The sequence below is a fragment of the Homo sapiens genome, chromosome 4 (assembly GCF_000001405.40).
Source record: "Homo sapiens chromosome 4, GRCh38.p14 Primary Assembly".
Classification (NCBI taxonomy): domain Eukaryota; kingdom Metazoa; phylum Chordata; class Mammalia; order Primates; family Hominidae; genus Homo; species Homo sapiens.
The window spans coordinates 53,981,169-54,000,364 of record NC_000004.12 but is presented as its reverse complement, the minus strand read 5'-3'; the positions used below and the strand labels follow the sequence as shown (position 1 = coordinate 54,000,364).

The 19,196-nt window shown below is 39.3% G+C and overlaps 1 pseudogene across 1 annotated transcript; it reads left to right on the top strand.

Moving 5' to 3' along the window:
• Positions 1 to 13,082: 13,082 nt before the first annotated feature.
• Positions 13,083 to 14,879, top strand: RPL21P44 (ribosomal protein L21 pseudogene 44; annotated as a pseudogene). Its single transcript, NR_027153.1, has one exon. The product of NR_027153.1 is annotated as a ribosomal protein L21 pseudogene 44 (transcript).
• Positions 14,880 to 19,196: the final 4,317 nt, after the last annotated feature.

Below are 19,196 nucleotides of genomic sequence, written 5' to 3'. Positions count from 1 at the left end.
ATGGATAAAATCTCAATTTCCAGGCCAAATGTAACTTTTTTTGGTCTTACATCTTGATTTACTTGTACTTAAGAGGTTTTTTCTCCCTGTAATATTTTTAAAGCTTTTAAAATTAACTTCAGCTTAAAGACAATATAAGTATGAATTTCTGTTTCCAGCCTTGTAGTTCTGACTGTATTTGTCAATGGTTTCTATATTAACGATAGCATTGTTCCATTGTGTAATCCTAAAGTTAAAAATTCTAAGAATGAGAAAAACAGCTATGAATAAATTATAAGTGAAAGATAGAAAAAACACATATTTCTATACTAAATATTGAGAGCTTTGTATTTTTCAAGTTGGAATCAATATATTGAGAACTGACTTTAAATTTTAAAACTCTTATGCTGAGAAACCCTGACAGGTAGATAAACCCGTTTGTCTACATAAGATGTTAGCAGTGTAGTATTGTGCACATCAAGCATGTTACAAAAACTCTAAGTTATTCTCTGAAGATACATAAGTTTTACTAGAGATACTCTGGATTTATTAGTCCTGCAAAGCCAGCTTTTTATAGTCTTCTGTTTGTAACATATCTGCTGGATGGTAATTTCTGCCATGATCATCTGACCAGTGTTTCTTCTATATGCATTTTAGAGCAAAGATGAACTAGGTCATCTATAAACAAATGCATTACATGTTTTAAATCTGTCTATCAAAACTGTTGACAGGTGTGTCAAGAAAGAGCTCTGAAGAAAGCGTGGGGGAGGAGGATGGGAGAGGCATTTTTTGTTAGTTTGTTTCCCAAATTCTGTTAGCATTGGGTCTTGCTTCTAAGCTATAGGCCACATCCATTTAAAAGAAGGTGGAGTCTCAGAGCTGGAAGAAACCTTGGAAGTATCTAGTGGAGATGTGCATAAAATCAGCTGGGAAGTTTTTTGTTTGTTTGTTTGTTTATTTATTTATGAGAGTCTTGCTCTGTTGCCCAGGTTATAGTGCAGTGGTGTGATCAAGGCTCACTGAGGCCTCCATATCCCAGTCTCAAGCAATTATCCCACCTCAGCCTCCCAAGTAGCGGGGACTACAGATGAGCACACCATGCCTGGCTAATTTTTAAAGATTTAAGAGACAGAGTCTCACTATGTTGCCCAGGCTGGTCTTGAACTCCTGGGCTCAAGCGATCCTCCTGCCTTGGCCTCTCAAAGTGTTTGGATTTACCTGCGTGAGTCCTTTGCTGGCCCTTTAAACAAATTGTAACATACTATTCAAGTATCTAGGTTTTAACAGGGTCAGCTCCTTTGTTTTATCTTCCTCTTCAGTTAAAACCATTCTCCAGTTGATTTTGAATGATTTAATGAATGTCATTTTGATCTTGATACAAATGCATTCCAAAACTGTAATTTTGATGAGTAAATTAGAATTTTAATATGGGCTTAATTGTTTTTTTTGCGACGGTGTCTCAGTTTGTCACCCAGGCTGGAGTGCAGTGGTGTGATCTTGGCTCACTACAACCCCTGCCTCCCGGGTTCAAGCAATTCTCCTGCCTCAGCCTCCCGAGTAACTGGGATTACAGGCGCCTGCTACCACGCCTGGCTAATTTTTTTATTTTTAGTAGAGATGGGGTTTCACCATCTTGCCCAGGCTGGTCTCGAACTCCTGACCTCAGATGATCCACCCACCTCAGCTTCCCAAAGTGCTAGGATCACAGGCGTGAGCCACTGTGCCCAGCCCAGTAGTTTGGTTTTAAAACTACACTTGGCTCTACCCTCCACGTTAGAATTGGGAGGAAGGAAAGAAGACCATGTATATTTTCAATATTTTTATCAATTATATCTTCCGGCTGGATGTGGTGGCTCACACCTGTAATCTTAGCACTTTGGGAAGCCGAGGTGGGAGGATTACTTGAACCCAGGAGTTCAAGACCAGCCTGGGCAACATAGCAAGAACCTGTCTCTATTCTTATTTTTAAAATTTTAAAAAAAGATGTCTTCCCTTACCTCTCTAACCTAATTTTATAATGACAATAAGGCTTAGGAAGTTTATCACTTATCTTCCATTGCAGGTTGTTAGTGATTTTTAAAAATCCCAAAAGTGATCATTTAGAATCCTTGTAAGAAAGCATGACCACAACTGGCTCACTGTAACTGAAAGAGCATCGCCTATGCCTGGGGAACTGAAAGGTAAATTGTTGGATTCCAGCCACTCAAAAATTGTTTATCTGTCTCTGTAAGTGGTTAAGTTTTAGTTCTATCTACTGCCCAATCTGAGAACTGTGACTTAGACATTTAATTATTTATTGCTTGTCCGTGTGAAAACATTTAGAATGGCTGGCAGCCTACCAGACCCCGAGTTAAACATTCTACAGCCTGACTAGACTGTTGGGTAGCCAACTTCACATCAGATTAAACACATTCTCTTCATGATGAATAGCTTGGAACCTAAAAACTTAATTTCGTTACAAAAAGTGCAAGGGGTGTGTTGTTTTCTAAATTAAAATTATTTTATGTTTTACTGCCACCGATCCAATTGTGGTTGTCAAATGTATTTTCTTTGGTGCTGGTAGGATGGAAGGGAAAGGGACAATGAGGGACTTTTGGGACTAATAAAATTTAAAAAAGGACTCCTACAAGGTTGGACACAATGCAGCCTAGGGATGAACAGTCATGAATTTTGTACTGAAAAAATTTACATTTCATTAACATTTTAAATTACAAAGGCAGGTCTACAAATACCGATTTGTGTGTTTGTGTGTGTGTGTGTGCTCATTGCATTTTCCAAGCAAACAAGTGAATAATGTGCTAACTGTATCCTTTGTTTTTTTATTTTTGATTTCTCTTTTTATTGTAAAACGTAAGCTGTGATGTGTAGTGACATTAATTTTAGTAAAACCTACTTTACGTTCTCTATAGATAATATGCACATAAAGTCTACATAATGTTTTCTTATGTAATAAATGCTTTGGGATAATGAAGGGTACTTCGAGCATCATTCCTCAGCTGTTTAGTAAACCAGCTCTACAGAGACTTGCCTTTCTAATTCTGCAGCTACATGGGTAGAAATTAATCTACTTGAAAATGAATTAGCAATATAAAAATGTAATATTTTATGATTAATATTAACTAGAAATTAAGACTGAATTATTCAACTTCAGTTTGCCATTCTTTGAAAGAAGTTACATTTTGGGAAGTTCTGTGAAGTTAGAAAAAGTTTGAAAGTGTGTTGCGGGAAATAGTGGCTGACTAGTGTAATGAATTGAAACGTTGGAATCAAGAACTCTGTGCCCAAGGGACCTGGCTGTCCGCAGGCTGTCATTTGAGGGTAAATGACAAGCAGGTGCCTGAGAAATGACAGGAAAGGCCCTACTTTTGGTCGTTGGCATCAGTACTAATAACCTTCTGGCTTTAGACCATGATTGAGGAATATATTTTCTGTGAGCACAATTGTGTATCATATAAATTTCAAGTGTGTTAACTAGTAGCAGAAAACTACAGTATCTAAAATTGTTTTTGCTGACCAAATGCCTTTTGACCAGAATCCCCCATTTAAGAGCTTGTCATTGTGCAGTTTGAAAATTTAGCTACTTAAAAAAAAACTTTAGATATATTTTTGATAAAACTATAAAATATACTTGAAAAATCACAAAGTTTTAAACACTTTTATAAGTGTACTTTTTGCTTTATTGAATGCCTGGAGCAGTTTCAGAAACTTACATAGTTTGGGAGTTCTCAAAGAAACAGCCATCAATGACGAATATAGCCTTTTGATGTTCCAGAGTACCGCACTCTGACAGTTGTCTTTCTTACACTGTCTTCTTCCACCACTATGGTGTCCCTATAATTATGCTTCAAATGTGCTGTCATTTTTGAATGCTACATTTTCACACATGAGTGGATAGACATGAACAGTGTTTTGGTTCTTTCCTTTGTTTCCCCTATTGAACTACTTTTTTTAGTAAGTCCATGTTAATTAAAATTCTAATGTTCTCATCAAAATTGCATTTTTGGAATAAATTTGTATCAGGATCAAATGACATTAAATCATTCAAAATCAATTAGAGAATGGTTTTAATTAATTGAACAGAAAGATGAAGTAAAGGAGCTGACATTGTTAAAACCTATTTACTGATAATTTAATAGTATGTTAAAATTTGTTTAAAGAGCTGGCTGCAGTGATTCACGCCTGTAATCCCTGCCCTTTGAGAGGCTGAGACAGAAGGATCGCTTGAGCCCACAAGACCAGCCTGGGCAACACAGTGAGACCCCATCTCTAAAAAAACTTTTAAAAATTAGCCAGGCATGGTGGTATGCGCCTGTAGTCCCAGCTACTTGGGAGGCTAAGGTGGGAGGATCCCTTGAGCCCAGGAGTTTGAGAGCAGCCTGGGCAACATAGGGAGAACCCATTTCTACAAATAAAAATAACATGTAAAAAAGCTGGGAATGATGGTGCATACCTGTGGTCCCAGCTGCCAGGATGGTTGAGGCTGCAGTGAGCCGTGGTCACGCCACTGTTCTCCAGCCTGGGCAGCAATGAGACCCAGTCCCCCTGCCAAAAAAAAAAAAAAATTATTTAGAGTATTTTGGGGTGATATATAAAATCATAACAGCTTAAAACGGAATACAACGAAAAAGACAATTTTTAAATAGTTAAAAGTGTTGGCGAGATAGAGGAAGTCAATCATAGTCTTGGAATAACATTTAGATTTCAGAATTTGAGTTTTTATGTTTGTTTTGACAAAATGGTTCTTTTGCTTTCTTCAACAAGAGGTTTAAGGCTTTGAACTTTTTGAAACTTTGATATAATTGTTGAAGTTTTTTAAACAAATCCTATAGAAATAGGAGACTGCTAATATGAAGAAGATAGAACATACTATTACAGCAAATTTATTTACTCACAAAAATTGCTTTTCCAAGGTAATCTTTTTCAAAAACTTACTGACATTTTAATGCCAAGTGTGTTTTCTTTGTCCCTAGTTTTAACAGTTTTAAAATACATGATTAACCTTTTTTCCTGAAACTGAAAGGAATCTGGACCAATTTTTTTAATCTATGCTTAAAAGCCACTCTTTTGATATGTTTTTCTTCATAGGACAGCCCATTATATTTAAATAGATAAATTGTCTCAGTTATTTCACACTAGCTGTATGACTTTATTTCTGTTATCCCCAGCAACTACATTTTTAGCTTTAAAGAATATTTTTATTGCTTTTGCATCAATTTCAAGTTTCAATATACAAAAGAGAGTAGTAACTAGTTCCTATGCTCTTCAGTCTGCTTCCCCAAGTAATCATTCTACTGTGAGGTGTTTTGTTTTTGGTATTGGCATTTTGGTATTAGGATTCATTATTACTAGTTATCAAGGAGACTCATTATTACACTGTGTCCCCTAATCATGTATAACCAGTGGCCTGGCAAAGCAGAAGACGACTTCCTCAAAAAAAAAAAAAAAAAAAAAAAAATCGTAGTTTACTTTAAGAGTTGACACTGCTGTAACCCAAAGACCTATTGAACTTACATTGCTGGTTGAGAAGCACACATCCAAAAAATCCAGTTATCTTCTGATCCACAATAAATTTTTGGAAAATAATCTGAAAACCAATTGTCCTCCATTATGACTAATGCACAATTTATTAAACTTAGATTTTTTGAGTGCAGTAACAGAACTAGAAATGTGTTGCTGTGTTACTCTGTTCTTGTACTGCTATAAAGAAGTACCTGAGACTGGGTAATTCATAAAGAAAAGAGGTTTAATTGACTCATAGTTCCACAGGCTGTACGGGAAGCATGACGGCTTCTGCTTGGCTTTTGGGGAGGCCTCAGGAAACTTATGGCAGAAGGCAAAGGGGAAGCAGGCACTTCCTACATGGCGAGAGCAGGAGGAAGAGAGAATGAAGGGGGAGGTACTACACATTTTTATAAACAACCAGATCTTGTGAGAACTCACTATTACCAGAATAGCAAGGGAAAAATCTGCCCCCATGATCCAGTCACCTCCCACAAAGCCCCTCTTCTAACATTGGGGATTACAGTTCAACACGAGATTTGTGGGGGAACACAGACCCAAACCATACCAATTACTAAAGAAATGGGAGACATTTGAATTTGGTGAAGAAATGGTCTAAGGTCTAAGCTTGGCCCAACCTCGGGCATCATGCCAAGTATAAAGGATAGCAAAGAGAATAATGCCTTTTGGTTTCTAAAGAGTTGAGGCTGGAGGAATAAGCATGTAACATGGTATGAAAAGTGCTAATAATCAAGGAAAGTAAGTGATAGGGTGGATCTTCAAAGGAGCAATATATTTGGGGTGGAAAGGTCATAGGTTGCATGGGTTGAAGCTTAACACATGAAAAGGCTGTGTTAAAAAAGTACTGATGATTTCTGTATGATTGGAAAATATGGGGAGATGGTCTGGTACAAAATACCTGTTTAATGAATTGTGCAGAAGCATCAAGAGATAAGGTCAGGAAAGGGAGAAGGGACAAGTGTATCATGCTGAAATTTTTTTGACTCTAGCCTGAAGCTATTGAAAGATTTTGAGAATGTGAGTGGACCTGGTCAAATCTGTCATTGATGAAGCTCATTCTGACCCTGAAATAAGCCAAAATTAGCAAGCTCCAATGTTAATTTGTTTTAACCTGTAAAGCTAGCAAGTAAAAATTCCTTAAATAAAGAACTCAACTGTTTCACTGTTTAGCAATGAGACCAAAGAGTATGTAAGATCGAAGGAATAGAGGTATAGAAAGACTGTTTTGCCCTTTGTTAAACTGAAAGACTAGCCTACTAACAATTCTAAATAATTATCTGGAACATTATCAGGGAATCTCACTGGGGTCAGACTGGAATCTAATTCTGGTTCTGCCACTCTCCAGCTGTGTGGCTTTGGAAATGTTACTTAACAGCTCTGTGCCTCCATTTCCTCATTTGTAAAATGGATTTGTTAATAGTACCTGTTTCAAGAAGTACTTATGAGGATTACACAATATAATGCATATATTCCACTGGTAATGCCACTCAACACAGGAGACCACTAGGAACACACAAGGAGTTGAACAAAGTTGGGTTTTTTTGTTTGTTGAAACTAGAGATACATTGTAGGGATTCCTGAGTGCTGGAAAGGCCTTCTTTCAGGATTTGGGCTTGTGATGAGTGATTTGGGAAGGATTCAAGCAAGAGTTTGCACTGGATTTCGATTCTGTAAGGAAGTGGGGTAATTTTATGATTGGTCTGAATAGATCTCATTTAGGAGGTGGGAGACACGAAGCTAAGTGAAAGCCGTAATTTGTAAAGAAGCAGCAGTCACTCATATTTAGTATTTTGTGCTTTGCACTGCGACTTTGTTTTTGTCTTATTACACAAGATGTGAAGAGGTCTTTTCTGTTTCATCATGGTCACAGAGTAACCTTGACTGATGGTCTTCTGTGAGATTGTTTATGTTCAACAGGAGAACACCAAGGCCTAGCTGGTAATAACAAGCCAAGTCCTGGATGCCAAGGGCTGCTTTTCTCTTTCTGTCACTTAGCACAATGCCTGGCATAAAGTTAAAGCTTAAGAAGTATCCTAAGGAACAATTCTAAAAGAATTGAGCCCAACTCTCACATGCATTCTGACCCTAAAATAAAGGCCAGTTTGGTCCATTTTTGAGATTAATATGACAGTGTTGTTTCAACTTCATTGGTCAGTACCTTCTTATTCCTTTTCTATATGGATAGATTTGCCTTATATTTTAGATGTTTACTTTGAGTTTGTATTTTTCGTATTCAAAACAGTTAAATCAGAATGTTAAACTTCTAACAACAGATTCTCTTTGAACATTTTTACAAAAGTTTAAAAGTTTTAAAAATCTGTTTTCAACATCTCCCTAGGTCAGTCTTCACAGTGTTTATCACAACTGAACATAAATATTAAGTTTAGTTATTTGTAAAATATCTGTTTCTCCTGCTATACCATGAAAGCAGGTTCTTATCAGCCTTGCTATTATATCTTAGCGCCCAGTATGTGCCTGGCACAGACTGTTTTGAAGAAATGATTGTTGAGTAACTGAACGAGGAAGAGAAATTGTACTTGGAAAGTGGAGTTGAAAACTAACATGTATTGAGTGACTGTTCAATGCCAGGTCCTATTTTAGGCACTATACAAAAATTATAATTAAGTCCTCTCAGAAATTCTGTAAAGGAATTATTGACTTAAGTTCAGCGACTTACCCTTCTAGGAATGGGTAAAGTCTGATTCCAGGTCTGTGTCATTCATCAAACATTTAATAAACACATATCTTGGGAATTTATCATAGCCTATCATTAGCAATTGCTTTTCTGTAATCGTATCAACTTCGTCTACTCTCTGTCATAGTCTCCTACCTGCGAGTCCCAACTTGTTTTAAGCACTGCTCCATCTCTTTACTCTGCGCTTACACCTAACAGCTGAATGGGGCTGGAGAAAAATCTGAAGCCAATGCTGACTAATTTCATTTTAAATCCATTACCACAAATTTCAAATAGGTACTACCCAAAGATCTTACTGTGCTTCACAAACATGTTTGTTCTCTTACTCTCCAAAATTACTGTGTCATAACTTCCCTCTTCAACTTTTTCCAACACCAGCCTCTGACTACTGGACCATTCCATCAGCATACAAACATTTTCTTCTGCCTCCCATTTGTAAACAAAACGACACCTTCCCTTGACCTCACATCTTCTTTTGCCACTTCTCTCACACCTTCACAGAAACCTGCTCAAAAATTTCCTCACATTTCCAGCTTACCTCTATGGACCCTAAAACTAGGTTTTGGATCCCACCATTCCCTGAAACTGCTCTTGTCAAGATTACAAACACCTCCACTTTGCCAAATCAGTCATCTCTCTCTTAACTCCTGCCGCATTTATTAAGTCCTCTTCATGCACTATCTGTCTTTTCTTGGCTTCTTTAACAGCATGCTCTCCCAGTTTCTTGCTTCTTGCTCTATCCATTGGCTGTAGGTCTTCCTCTTAAGCCTTAAGTGTTGGTGTGCTCCAGGCTCAGGCCCAAGACTTTTCTGTTTTTCTACTGATCTCATCTAATTGCATGGTTTAGATACCATCTTATGTACAGATTTATATTGCCAGTTCTGACCTTTCCACTGAGCTATAACTTTAGATACCTAAACGCCCACTTGACCATTCGCTACTTGAATAATAAAAAGGTGTTTCATACTTAAAATGGCTAAAACAGTACTCTTGACTTTCTCCCTGTGAAATTGGTTCTTTTTTTCATTCTTCCTCATCTCACTATATGGTCCTTCTCCTCTCACTCATATATTTCACTCAGACAAAAACCCAGGAGCTGTCATTTCTCCTCCATTTCCCATAATCTCATAATCTACTTCAAAAATACACCTGCAGTACATTAATTTTTCCTTCATATCCATCGCTTTTCCTTTTTTCTAAGTTTCCATTATCTTCTATCAGTTCTTACCTGAATTGCAATTGCCTCTTTAGCTGTTCTTCCAGTGTTCTACACAGTCTGGCCATTGCCTGCCTTTTGACATCATTTCTTATCATCAGTGTTCCACCCACTCCAGTCTGACTGCATTGTCTTTTTCGGTTACTCAGAAAGGCAAAGTTAGTTTTCCCGTGGGGTTGTTTATTCATTGTTGTCTCTGCCTAGAATGACCCCCTCCTCTTAGGATTTCAGGTCTCAGCTCAAATGTCCCTTCTTCAGTGAAACTTTTCCCAACCTGCCAGTCTGAATGAGCTCTTCTGCGCTGTCACTGTGACATTGTATATTTTCTTCATTACACTTTTCACTATCTGAATTTCTTATTCATATTTTTGTCATTCTCTGTTAGAATACCAGCTCCATGAAATTGGGTGCCGTGTCTGGCCACCTTAACTTTCACCAGTATATTTCCAGAATCAAGAATATTGCCTGACACATGATAAATGCACCATAAATGTTTGTTCAATAAGTACATTTTATAATCATACTTGTTTTAATATAAAAGGGTTTTAACCCCACGACTTTAACCTGAGGAAAGTCATGTTTCTCCCATGGCCTTGTTTCTCCCATGGCTCTATGTGTCCGTGGCTTCACTGCCTTATTCCTTGCTTTGAGAAGCTTTGTCACTGCTTTCACCTATACCAGCCACTGCTAAAAAATAATAGCCCCCAAATCCCTTAGAATGAAAAGAAGGATAACAATGTCTTTGAATAAACATCAGGGAGGAAGTTCATCATTAAATCATCAATACAGGCCAAAACAAAAGATAGAGACATTGTCATGTTATGAAAAGAACTCCTCCCACACATGTGAGTATTTGGTTTGACCCTTGATTTAAATGAACAAGTATACTTCCCTGATGTGGCTGATAAAAGGTAATAATACAGTATCATGATGAAGAGAGATGACACTGAGGCTCCAGTCTACTTTAAAAATATGTAAGTCTCTGATAGGTCATGATTTTAGACCACATACAGACTGTCCTATGGGGAAAACACAGGGAAGAAAAGCAGCATAAACATTTTTATCCTTTATTGTGTTTGTCCAAAGCAGAGTTAAGAGGGTAGCCTAAGAGTATAATACTTGCCTTTCCAACTACAGAATAATCTTTTCCTTTCTCCAAATTGTATAAAGTAGATTTTTTTTTTTCAGTGAGTGAAACGATGAAACTTAGACTCACTTAAATGTATTTCCTAATGTAAGAATGTGTGTGTGCCAAGTAAATTTACTAAGCATTAGAACATGGAAAGCAGAGTATGATTAATACCCTCGTTTACCTCACTTTTTCCCCCATTTTCAAAATTTGTTTTCAAATATGGAAATTCTTCTGTACACTAAAATGATCTTAGGAAACAGGTAGCTCATGGTCTAAAGTTTAGCAGTTCATGATTAAGGGTTGCCGCAATCTAATCTGTTAACACACTGACTTTTGCCATTAATTTTTACTAGGTCTCTGCTTCCGTACCTGTAGAGGTCAATATTGTTAAGATACAAAATACATGGTACCAAGGCATACTAGAAAAACTTTAAAAATTGGTTATTTGGATTTGGCCTACCCACTTGATTGTTATCTGTAAACGATGTTGATATGATTTGGAATTTGACTATGCATTCAAAACAATGTTTTTGTCAAATGGGTTGGGTCATTCTAGAGAAAGAAAGAAAAAAAACAGACATTAACAATTAGTCATGAGGCTGAGTATAATTCCAGCATGTTGGAAGGCTGACGTGGGAGGATCATTTGAGGCCAGGAGTTTGAGACCAGCCTGGGCAACATAGGAAGACCCTGTCTCTACAAAAAATAATTTAAAAAATTAGCCTGGCATGGCGGTGCATACCTGTAGTTCTAGTTATTTTAGAGGCTGAAGCGGGAGGATTGCTTGAACCCAAGAGTTTGAGGCTGCAGTGAGCCATGATCACACCACTGCACTCCATGCACTCCAGCCTCAGTGACAAAGTGAGACCTTGTCTCAAATTAATAATACATGAAATTTTAGTTACAACAAAGCTGTTTTTTTCCAATAACGATGGAAGATTAACATGTTTTTCTTCTTTTTTCAGTTGTTTGCTCATTAATGAATTAGAATATACCAAAAGTAAATTAAAAATAATTCTGAGTGTCATTGTTACTTCTTACTTTAGTTAAAGAGTAGTGGAATTACCGCTGTGCTGCAGACCAAGTCCTACTTGCTAAATAACTACAGATAGTTAAAGGTGAAGGCTGAGCACGGTGGCTCACACCTGTAATCTCAGCACTTTGGGAGGCTGAGGCAGGCAAATCACTTGAGCTCAGGAGTTCGAGACCAGCCTGGAAAACATGACAAAACCCTGTCTCTACAGAAAATACAAAAATTAGCCAGCCGTGGTGGCCTGCTTGTAGTCCCAGCTATTTGGGATGCTGAGTGGGAGGATTGCTTGAGCCCAGGAAGTCAAGGCTGCAGTGAGCCAGGATCATACCACTGCACTCCAGCCTGGGAGATAGAGACCCTGTCTCACAAAAAAACAAAAACAAAACAAAACAAAAAAACAAACACCAAAACTATAGTCAAAGCTGGAAGGGACCTGCTTATCCTGTGGCCTGGGCTTTAGCCATCTCTTCCAATACCAATTGCCTAGTGTTATTATGTAAAGCTAATTTGGCCAGCTCTGGTCCTTATTTTGCACTCATTCCAGTAAACCCAACCACTATGGCACTTAATACTGCCATTGTCAGTCAGTCTGCAGTATTGATTGACTGCCTTTAGAGCTCTCTTTTGTGTGCCTTGTCCACTCTTCAGTCACTGAGAGAGAGACCAAAGAACAGAGACCAACACCCTGTACTTGGCATGGCCATTAGTCACTGGAGTTAGATGAATCACACTGTATCTAAGAGAGAAGACTCAGGGAGAAGGGCTTAGCACAACACAGAAAAGCTTTAAACACTCTTACCTTTGACTGGAATTACACACACACACACACACACACACATACATACACACACACACATACACACACACACACTAAGGCTTTCCCACAAAGCCATGATGCATCCTTAAAAATAACACACAGCTCTGAAAAGTGAATGTCGGGGGTGAAGAGAGCCCTCCTACACTCCTTTTCCTAGTGATGACAAGGTTGTGGGGGCATGGCTGACTGTGAGGAGCAGAAGATGAGAGGGAGATATCATTTTACTTCTTTGTACTGCAATAATAAAAAGAACAGATAGAATGGAAGGAAGAGGCCAGGGGCAGTGGCTCATACCTGTAATCCCAGCACTTTGGGAGGCTGAGGCAGGTGGATCACCTGAGGTCAGGAGTTCGAGACCAGCCTGGCCAACATGGAGAAACTCCGTCTCTATTAAGAATACAAAAATTAGCCAGGCGTGGTGGTGGGCACCTATAATCACAGCTACCCGGGAGGTTGAGGCAGGAGAATCACTTGAACTTGTGGGGCGGAGGTCGCAGTGAGCCAAGATTGCGCCACTTCACTCCAGCCTGGGCGAGAAAGTGAACTCTGTCTCAAAAAAAAAAAAAAAAAAAAAGAATGGAGCGAAGAAGCCAGATTGAGTCTTCTTGCAATGAGGCGGAGTATACAATATTATTTTTAAAAATCAGTCTAGTGTTTCTGAAAACAAGGACACACTAGGAGGAAATGGTGGAGGAAAGGAGAACACAAAGTAAAAGTGACACTGCCTATTTCTTCACGGGTACAAGGGCCACTTAGGCTGGGATGCTTTTCCTGAAAATGCAGACCATACAGAACAAGGCCATGTGACTAAGAATCCACAACAGAAACAAACACAAGACACATATGAGTTAGGAAAGTTAAGGAAGCAGTCCTTCCTTTCGGCCAAAACTGCCACCTTCCAGTAATTTGCCACAATGATGAACACAAAGGGGGAAGAGGAGAGGCACCGGTATACATTCTCTAGGCCTTTTAGAAAACATGGACTTGTTCCTTTGGTTACAAATATGCGAATCTATAAGAAAGGTGATATGGTACACATCAACGGAATGGATACTGTTCAAAAAGGAATGCCCCACAAGTGTTACCATGGCAAAACTGAAAGTCTACAGTGTTCCCCAGCATGCTGTTGGCATTGTTGTAAACAAGGGTAAGATTCTTGCCAAGAGAATTAATGTGCATATTGAGCACATTAAGCACTGTAAGAGCCGAGATAGCTTCCTGAAATGTGTGAAGGAAAATGATCAGAAAAAGAAAGAAGCCAAAGAGGAAGGTACCTGGGTTCAAGTGAAGCACCAGCCTGCTCCACCCAGAGAAGCGCACTTTGTGAAAGCTTGTGGGAAGGAGCCTGAGCTGCTGGAACCTATTCCCTGTGAATTCATGGCATCATAGGTGTTAATAAAATAAAATAAAATAAAATAAAATAAAATAAAATAAAATAAAATAAAAGACCTCTGGCTGTAAAACAAAACAAAACAAAAAAATCAAAAAACAACAAAAAAGAAAGCAGTGGAGTGCATTTGTAGATTTGGTACATTAATGTGCCAGGCCCTCCATCCCACTTCTCTGAAAGCCTCTCTCCTGTGTGTGAGAGGGAAGGCATGGGGCAAGAAGGGGAAGGTCTTCCTTAAATAGCTGGTGGTAACATTGTCCTCAGCTCACCAAGAGAACTCTCTGAACAATGTGACTCCTATTAGAAATGAGAACAAGTACCTATTGTTTAGGCTTAAACAACTCTAAGTGTTTCTTTTAGAGATAATTAATTTAATTAAAATGGTCCCTGAAGCCAAACTGAGCTTCATATTGAGCACTATACACATTCCTTCCAAATTCCAGTACAAAGCTATTCAGAAGTAGTAAACTATCAGTCATGTAGCTCACATTTACTTCCACTGGAATGGAGGCCCTAGCACAGGGGCTGGGATAGGAGGCTCTTCCTGAGCTGGAGGGAGTAGCATTAGTTCTGATGCAGTTAGAGAAAAGATGATTTTTCATCTGTGGATTTAGTTCCAAAAATGATGTGGGCATTTTTTCCTTCATGGTAGTTTCAAGAAGAGAAATTTGGTTTACTGACTGCATCCAAATCAACCATCTACAGGATACCCTCAGCATGTCGGTGCTCAATAAATGAATGAATCAGTGGATAAATGGCCAGGCGCAGTGGCTCACCCCTGTAATCCCAGCACTTTGGGAGGCCAAGTGACCTCAAGGCGGATCACTTGAGGTCAGGAGTTCTAGACCAGCCTGGCCAGCACTTTAGGAGGCTGAGGCAGGGGTGGATCACTTGAGGTCAAGAGTTTGAGACAAGCCTGGCCAACATAGTGAAAATCCGTCTCTACTAAAAATACAAAAATTAGCCAGGCATGATGGTGCACTGCTGTAATCCCAGCTACTCAGGAGACTGAGGCAGAGGTTGCAGTGAGCTGAGGTCGTGCCACTGCACACAGCCTGGGCAACAGAGTGAGACTCTGTCTCAAAAAAAAAAAAAAAAAAAAGATACATGAATGAAACCAACCTCTTTGGCCTAGAATAGATGAGCTTTTGGACCTGTTATCTTCTGGAGTCAGGAAGTAAATTGAGTAGAATTTGATGTTAGATCAAAACTACCAAGCTGTCATGTACCCCAAGAGGACACAATAAACTTCTGTGGCATTTGATGATGGTTTATTGACGGTAGATGCAGTTCAACATGTTTATTCCAAACCTTGAGGCAAGCGCACTGTAGGGAGGCCACATGGCCTGGCCATTTAGCAAGTAGACTGTGGAATCAGGAAGACTGGGCTCCTGGCTGTCTCCCTTTCTTGTAACTTGACCATGGGCCTATTTTTAAAACTTAGTCTGTTTCTTCATATATAAAATAAAGATAATATAAAACCTAACACATTAGATTTTTGTGAAATTTAAACTATGACATTCATTCTGCATGGACTGAATGCCTACTATGTGTCAGGCATTGTTCCAGGTGTTTGGGATATGTCAGTGAACAGAATACAGATCCTTTGTGGCATGTACAGTCTAGTGAGGGGAGGGGGATGGGAAGCAAATAAAACACCATAACCATAAGAAAATATATTAATATGTTAGAAGTTCTGTGTGCTAAGAAAATAGCAGTGCAGGGTAAGGGTTCCAAAGACAGGGTTGGGGGATATGGGAGGCTGGTAGTGGGTTACAATTTTGTATAGGGGAGACAGGGTAGCCTCCATTGAGAAGATAACATGAGCAAAGATGTGAAGCTGGTGAGGGAGTAAGCCATGTGGATATCTAGAGGCAGCAGATTCAAGGCAAAGGGAAGAGCCATTACAAAGGCCAGAGGACAGGAGTATGTCAGGCATGTTTGACAGCAAAGATCAAAGAAGACAGAGTGGTTGGAGAGGCAGAAGTGAAGTAACTGCAGATCAGGTTGTATAGGACCTTGAGGCTATTGTCAGAGCTTGGTGTGAAATGGGGGAGCCCGTCTAACTAATCATTTAACAGATTGCTGATGTGGGTGGGTGGCTATGGGAGGTTTGTGTTGTTGATCTAACTCTGTGAATGATTGGGTGAAAATTGACGATGCAGGAAAGAGGAGAATGTGCTTGAGTATGAGAGGGGTTGGTGCCAGGGACTCATGGGGAGTTTTCATAGGGACTAGGCAGGAAGGCTGAGAGTGTGGGTACAGTGACTGGTAGGAGAGTATGTGGTTGTGGGAGTCTGTGGAGGTTTTCTTCTGCTTCTCTCACTTTTCTTAGAGAAATAGGTAGCATAGTAATCACCTAAGAGTAAGTGGGGAAAGGAGTATTCTTGAGGGGAAGAAGGAAGTATGAGCTTGTTCTCTAGGAGAACAGGAGAGTGAATGGATGAGGGGAACCTCATCCTGCTGTGAACCTCATGCCTGGCTATGAATGCCAGGCAGCATTAAGGGCCCAGTTAAGGGTTAATGACTATGAACTCAAAACGAGATCAGTCAGCATGGTTTTCACCAGACATATTCAACCATTCCAGTGCAGGGAAAGAGGTGGGTTTCACTAGGGTTGTGTTTTGCTAAACAAATAAGTCAAAGCCAGAGAAGGGCAAGGGATTTGAGGGATTCTGAAGTGAGTATTTACAGCATAATAATTGACCAAAGCATTTAAGTCAGGTAATTATAAAGAGAAGATAGGACCTCAAGTGTGAAGTGGGAGAAGGACCAATGGTGGAGAGACCCTTGGTTTAAAAGGTTTGGAATTGGGGTAATAGAATTAGTGAGCTGGAAAGATAGCAGGTGAGGTCAGAGTGGAATGTGTCAAATCAAAGTTATGAAAATGCATCTAAAATTGTAGGACAATATGTGGTGCAAAGCAAATGCCCAGTAATTAATGACTATTATTAGGGATTCATAAAACTTGTTATCCAGAACCCTTGAGACCAGATTTGTTTTGTAACTTAGAATTCTTCAGACTGTAGAAAAGCTTCATGGTGTATATACACCTCCATGGAGGTCCTGGAAAGTTTTCTGTAATCCAGCACATCAGCGTGTCTTCAGGAAAATGTATGAATATTCATATTAAGTAGGATGGATAGCCTCATGTTGGTGTAGGGCACGTTTTGCTGTATAAGTTAGGCACTAAATTTTTAAAAAACAAAACTTTGGATTTTAAGATTTCGACTTTGAGATTTCAGAATTGCAACAAAAAAAGATGAACCTGTACTGACATTTTCACTAAGCATCGTGAACTTAGGGGAAATACTTCATCTCTCTAGAGGACTTTGAGTTTGGAAATTTCTGAACTACTTCCCTGCTCAACATTTTATGATTCCTTGATACCCTTCACTGGACTCAATTCCCCATAAGACAACTGAATAAAGAGGTTGGGCATCCTTAATATGAAAACCCCAAATCCAAAATGCTTGAAAATCTGAAACTTTTTGAGTGCTGACATGACACCACAAGTGGAAAACTTCACAGCTGACCTCACGTGATGAGTCGAAGTCAAAACACAGATGCACAACACACAATTCCTTCAGTGTCCCCGAGCAAAGAAACACCCTCCCAGGCCCTTTAATTGTGATGTATATTTTCTAGGCATGCCCAGATTCCTTCATGCAAGCACACCCACAAAAGGTAATAACATGGCATGTGTGCAGGCCAGATATGCAAACAGCAGGTTCCCCATGATGCCCTACATGGGACCAAGACCCACGTGCATTACTTACTTTATTTTTGCTTACTCTCTGTAAAGATATTGTTGAAAATACCAAAAAGCCCTACAGATACCCCTATGGGTAACAGTGGTAAGAGAAAGAGGAAGAATATTTATCTATAGCACAGAGAGTCAAGCTATTGGACAAACTGGACAGTGGTATAAGTGTGAATCATCTTACAGCAGTGTGGTGTTAGAATGACCACCCTGTATGACATGAAGAAACAGGACTGTTGAAGTTCTATGCTGAAAGTGATGAATAGAAGTTAATTAAAAATAGAAAAACACTGCATAAAGCTAAAAATAAAGACCTCAATCATGTATTGAAAGAGTGGGTTGTCAGTGTTGCAGTGAACAAACACATGCCACTTCATAGTATGTAGATCATGAAACAAGCAAAGATCTGTCACGATGAATTGAAAAGTGAAGAGAACTATGATTAGTCAATAGGCTGGTTGCAGAAATTTAGGAATAGATATGGCATTAAATTTTTAAAGATTTGTGGTGATAAAACTTCTGCTGATCGTGAAGCAGCGGAGCAATTCATTGATGAGTTTGCCAGCATCAGCTGGATGCAGTGGCGCATGCCTGTAATCCCACCTCTTTGGGAGGGTGAGGCAGGAGGATTGCTTGAGCCCAGGAGTTTGAGACCAGCCTGGGCAAAATAGGGTGACCCAATTGCTACAAATCTTTTTAAAAAAAATTAGCTGGGTGGTGGTTCATGCCTGTAGTCCTAGATACTCCAGAAGCTGAGGCTGAAGGACCACTTGAGCCCAGGAATTTGAGGCTACGGTGGGCTCTGATCATGCCACTGCACTGCACTCCTACCTGGATGACAGAGTGAGACCCTGTCTCTTAAAAAATAAAAAACAAAATAAAATAAAACACATAAAAGTGTATCAGTTTGACAAGGTCATTGCTGATGAGTCTTATCCCAGAAAAAGTCTATAATGCTGATGAAACATCTCTGTTTTGGCATTATTACCCCAGAAAGACTCTGACTACAGCTGATGAGGCAGCTCCTGTAGGAATTCAGGATACTAAGGATAGAATAACTGTGCTGGGATGTGCTAATGCAACAGCCACACAGAGTGTAAACTTGCTGTGATAGGCAAAAGCATGCATACTTGATGTTTACAAGGAGTGAATTTCTTAACTAGTCCATTATTATGCCAACAAAAAGGCATGGATCACCAAGGACATTTTTTTCTGGCAGTTTCTCAAATATTTTGTACCAGTGGTTCATGCACACTGCAGAAAAGCTGAACCGGATGTCCACTCCAAGATCTTGTTATTCCTTGACAACTGTTCTGCTCATCCTTCACCTGAGATCCTCAGCAGAAATGTTTATGTCATATACTTTCTCACAAAGATAACTTTATTAATTTAGCCATATGACCATGCTATCCTTAGATCAATAAACTTTTTGAACAGCATGCTAGCAATAGTGAACAGAGGCGTGGCTGTGGAAAGTTTTCAAAAGGAGTTTAGCCTGAAGGATACTATATATGCTATTGCCAGTGCTTGGAACACAATGACTAAACACATGGTTGGGCATGTCTGGCACAACTTCTGGCCTGCAACTGTGTTCAGTGATGATGACGAGCAAGGTGACAAGTTTGAATGATTCTGTATGTCAAGTGAGAAA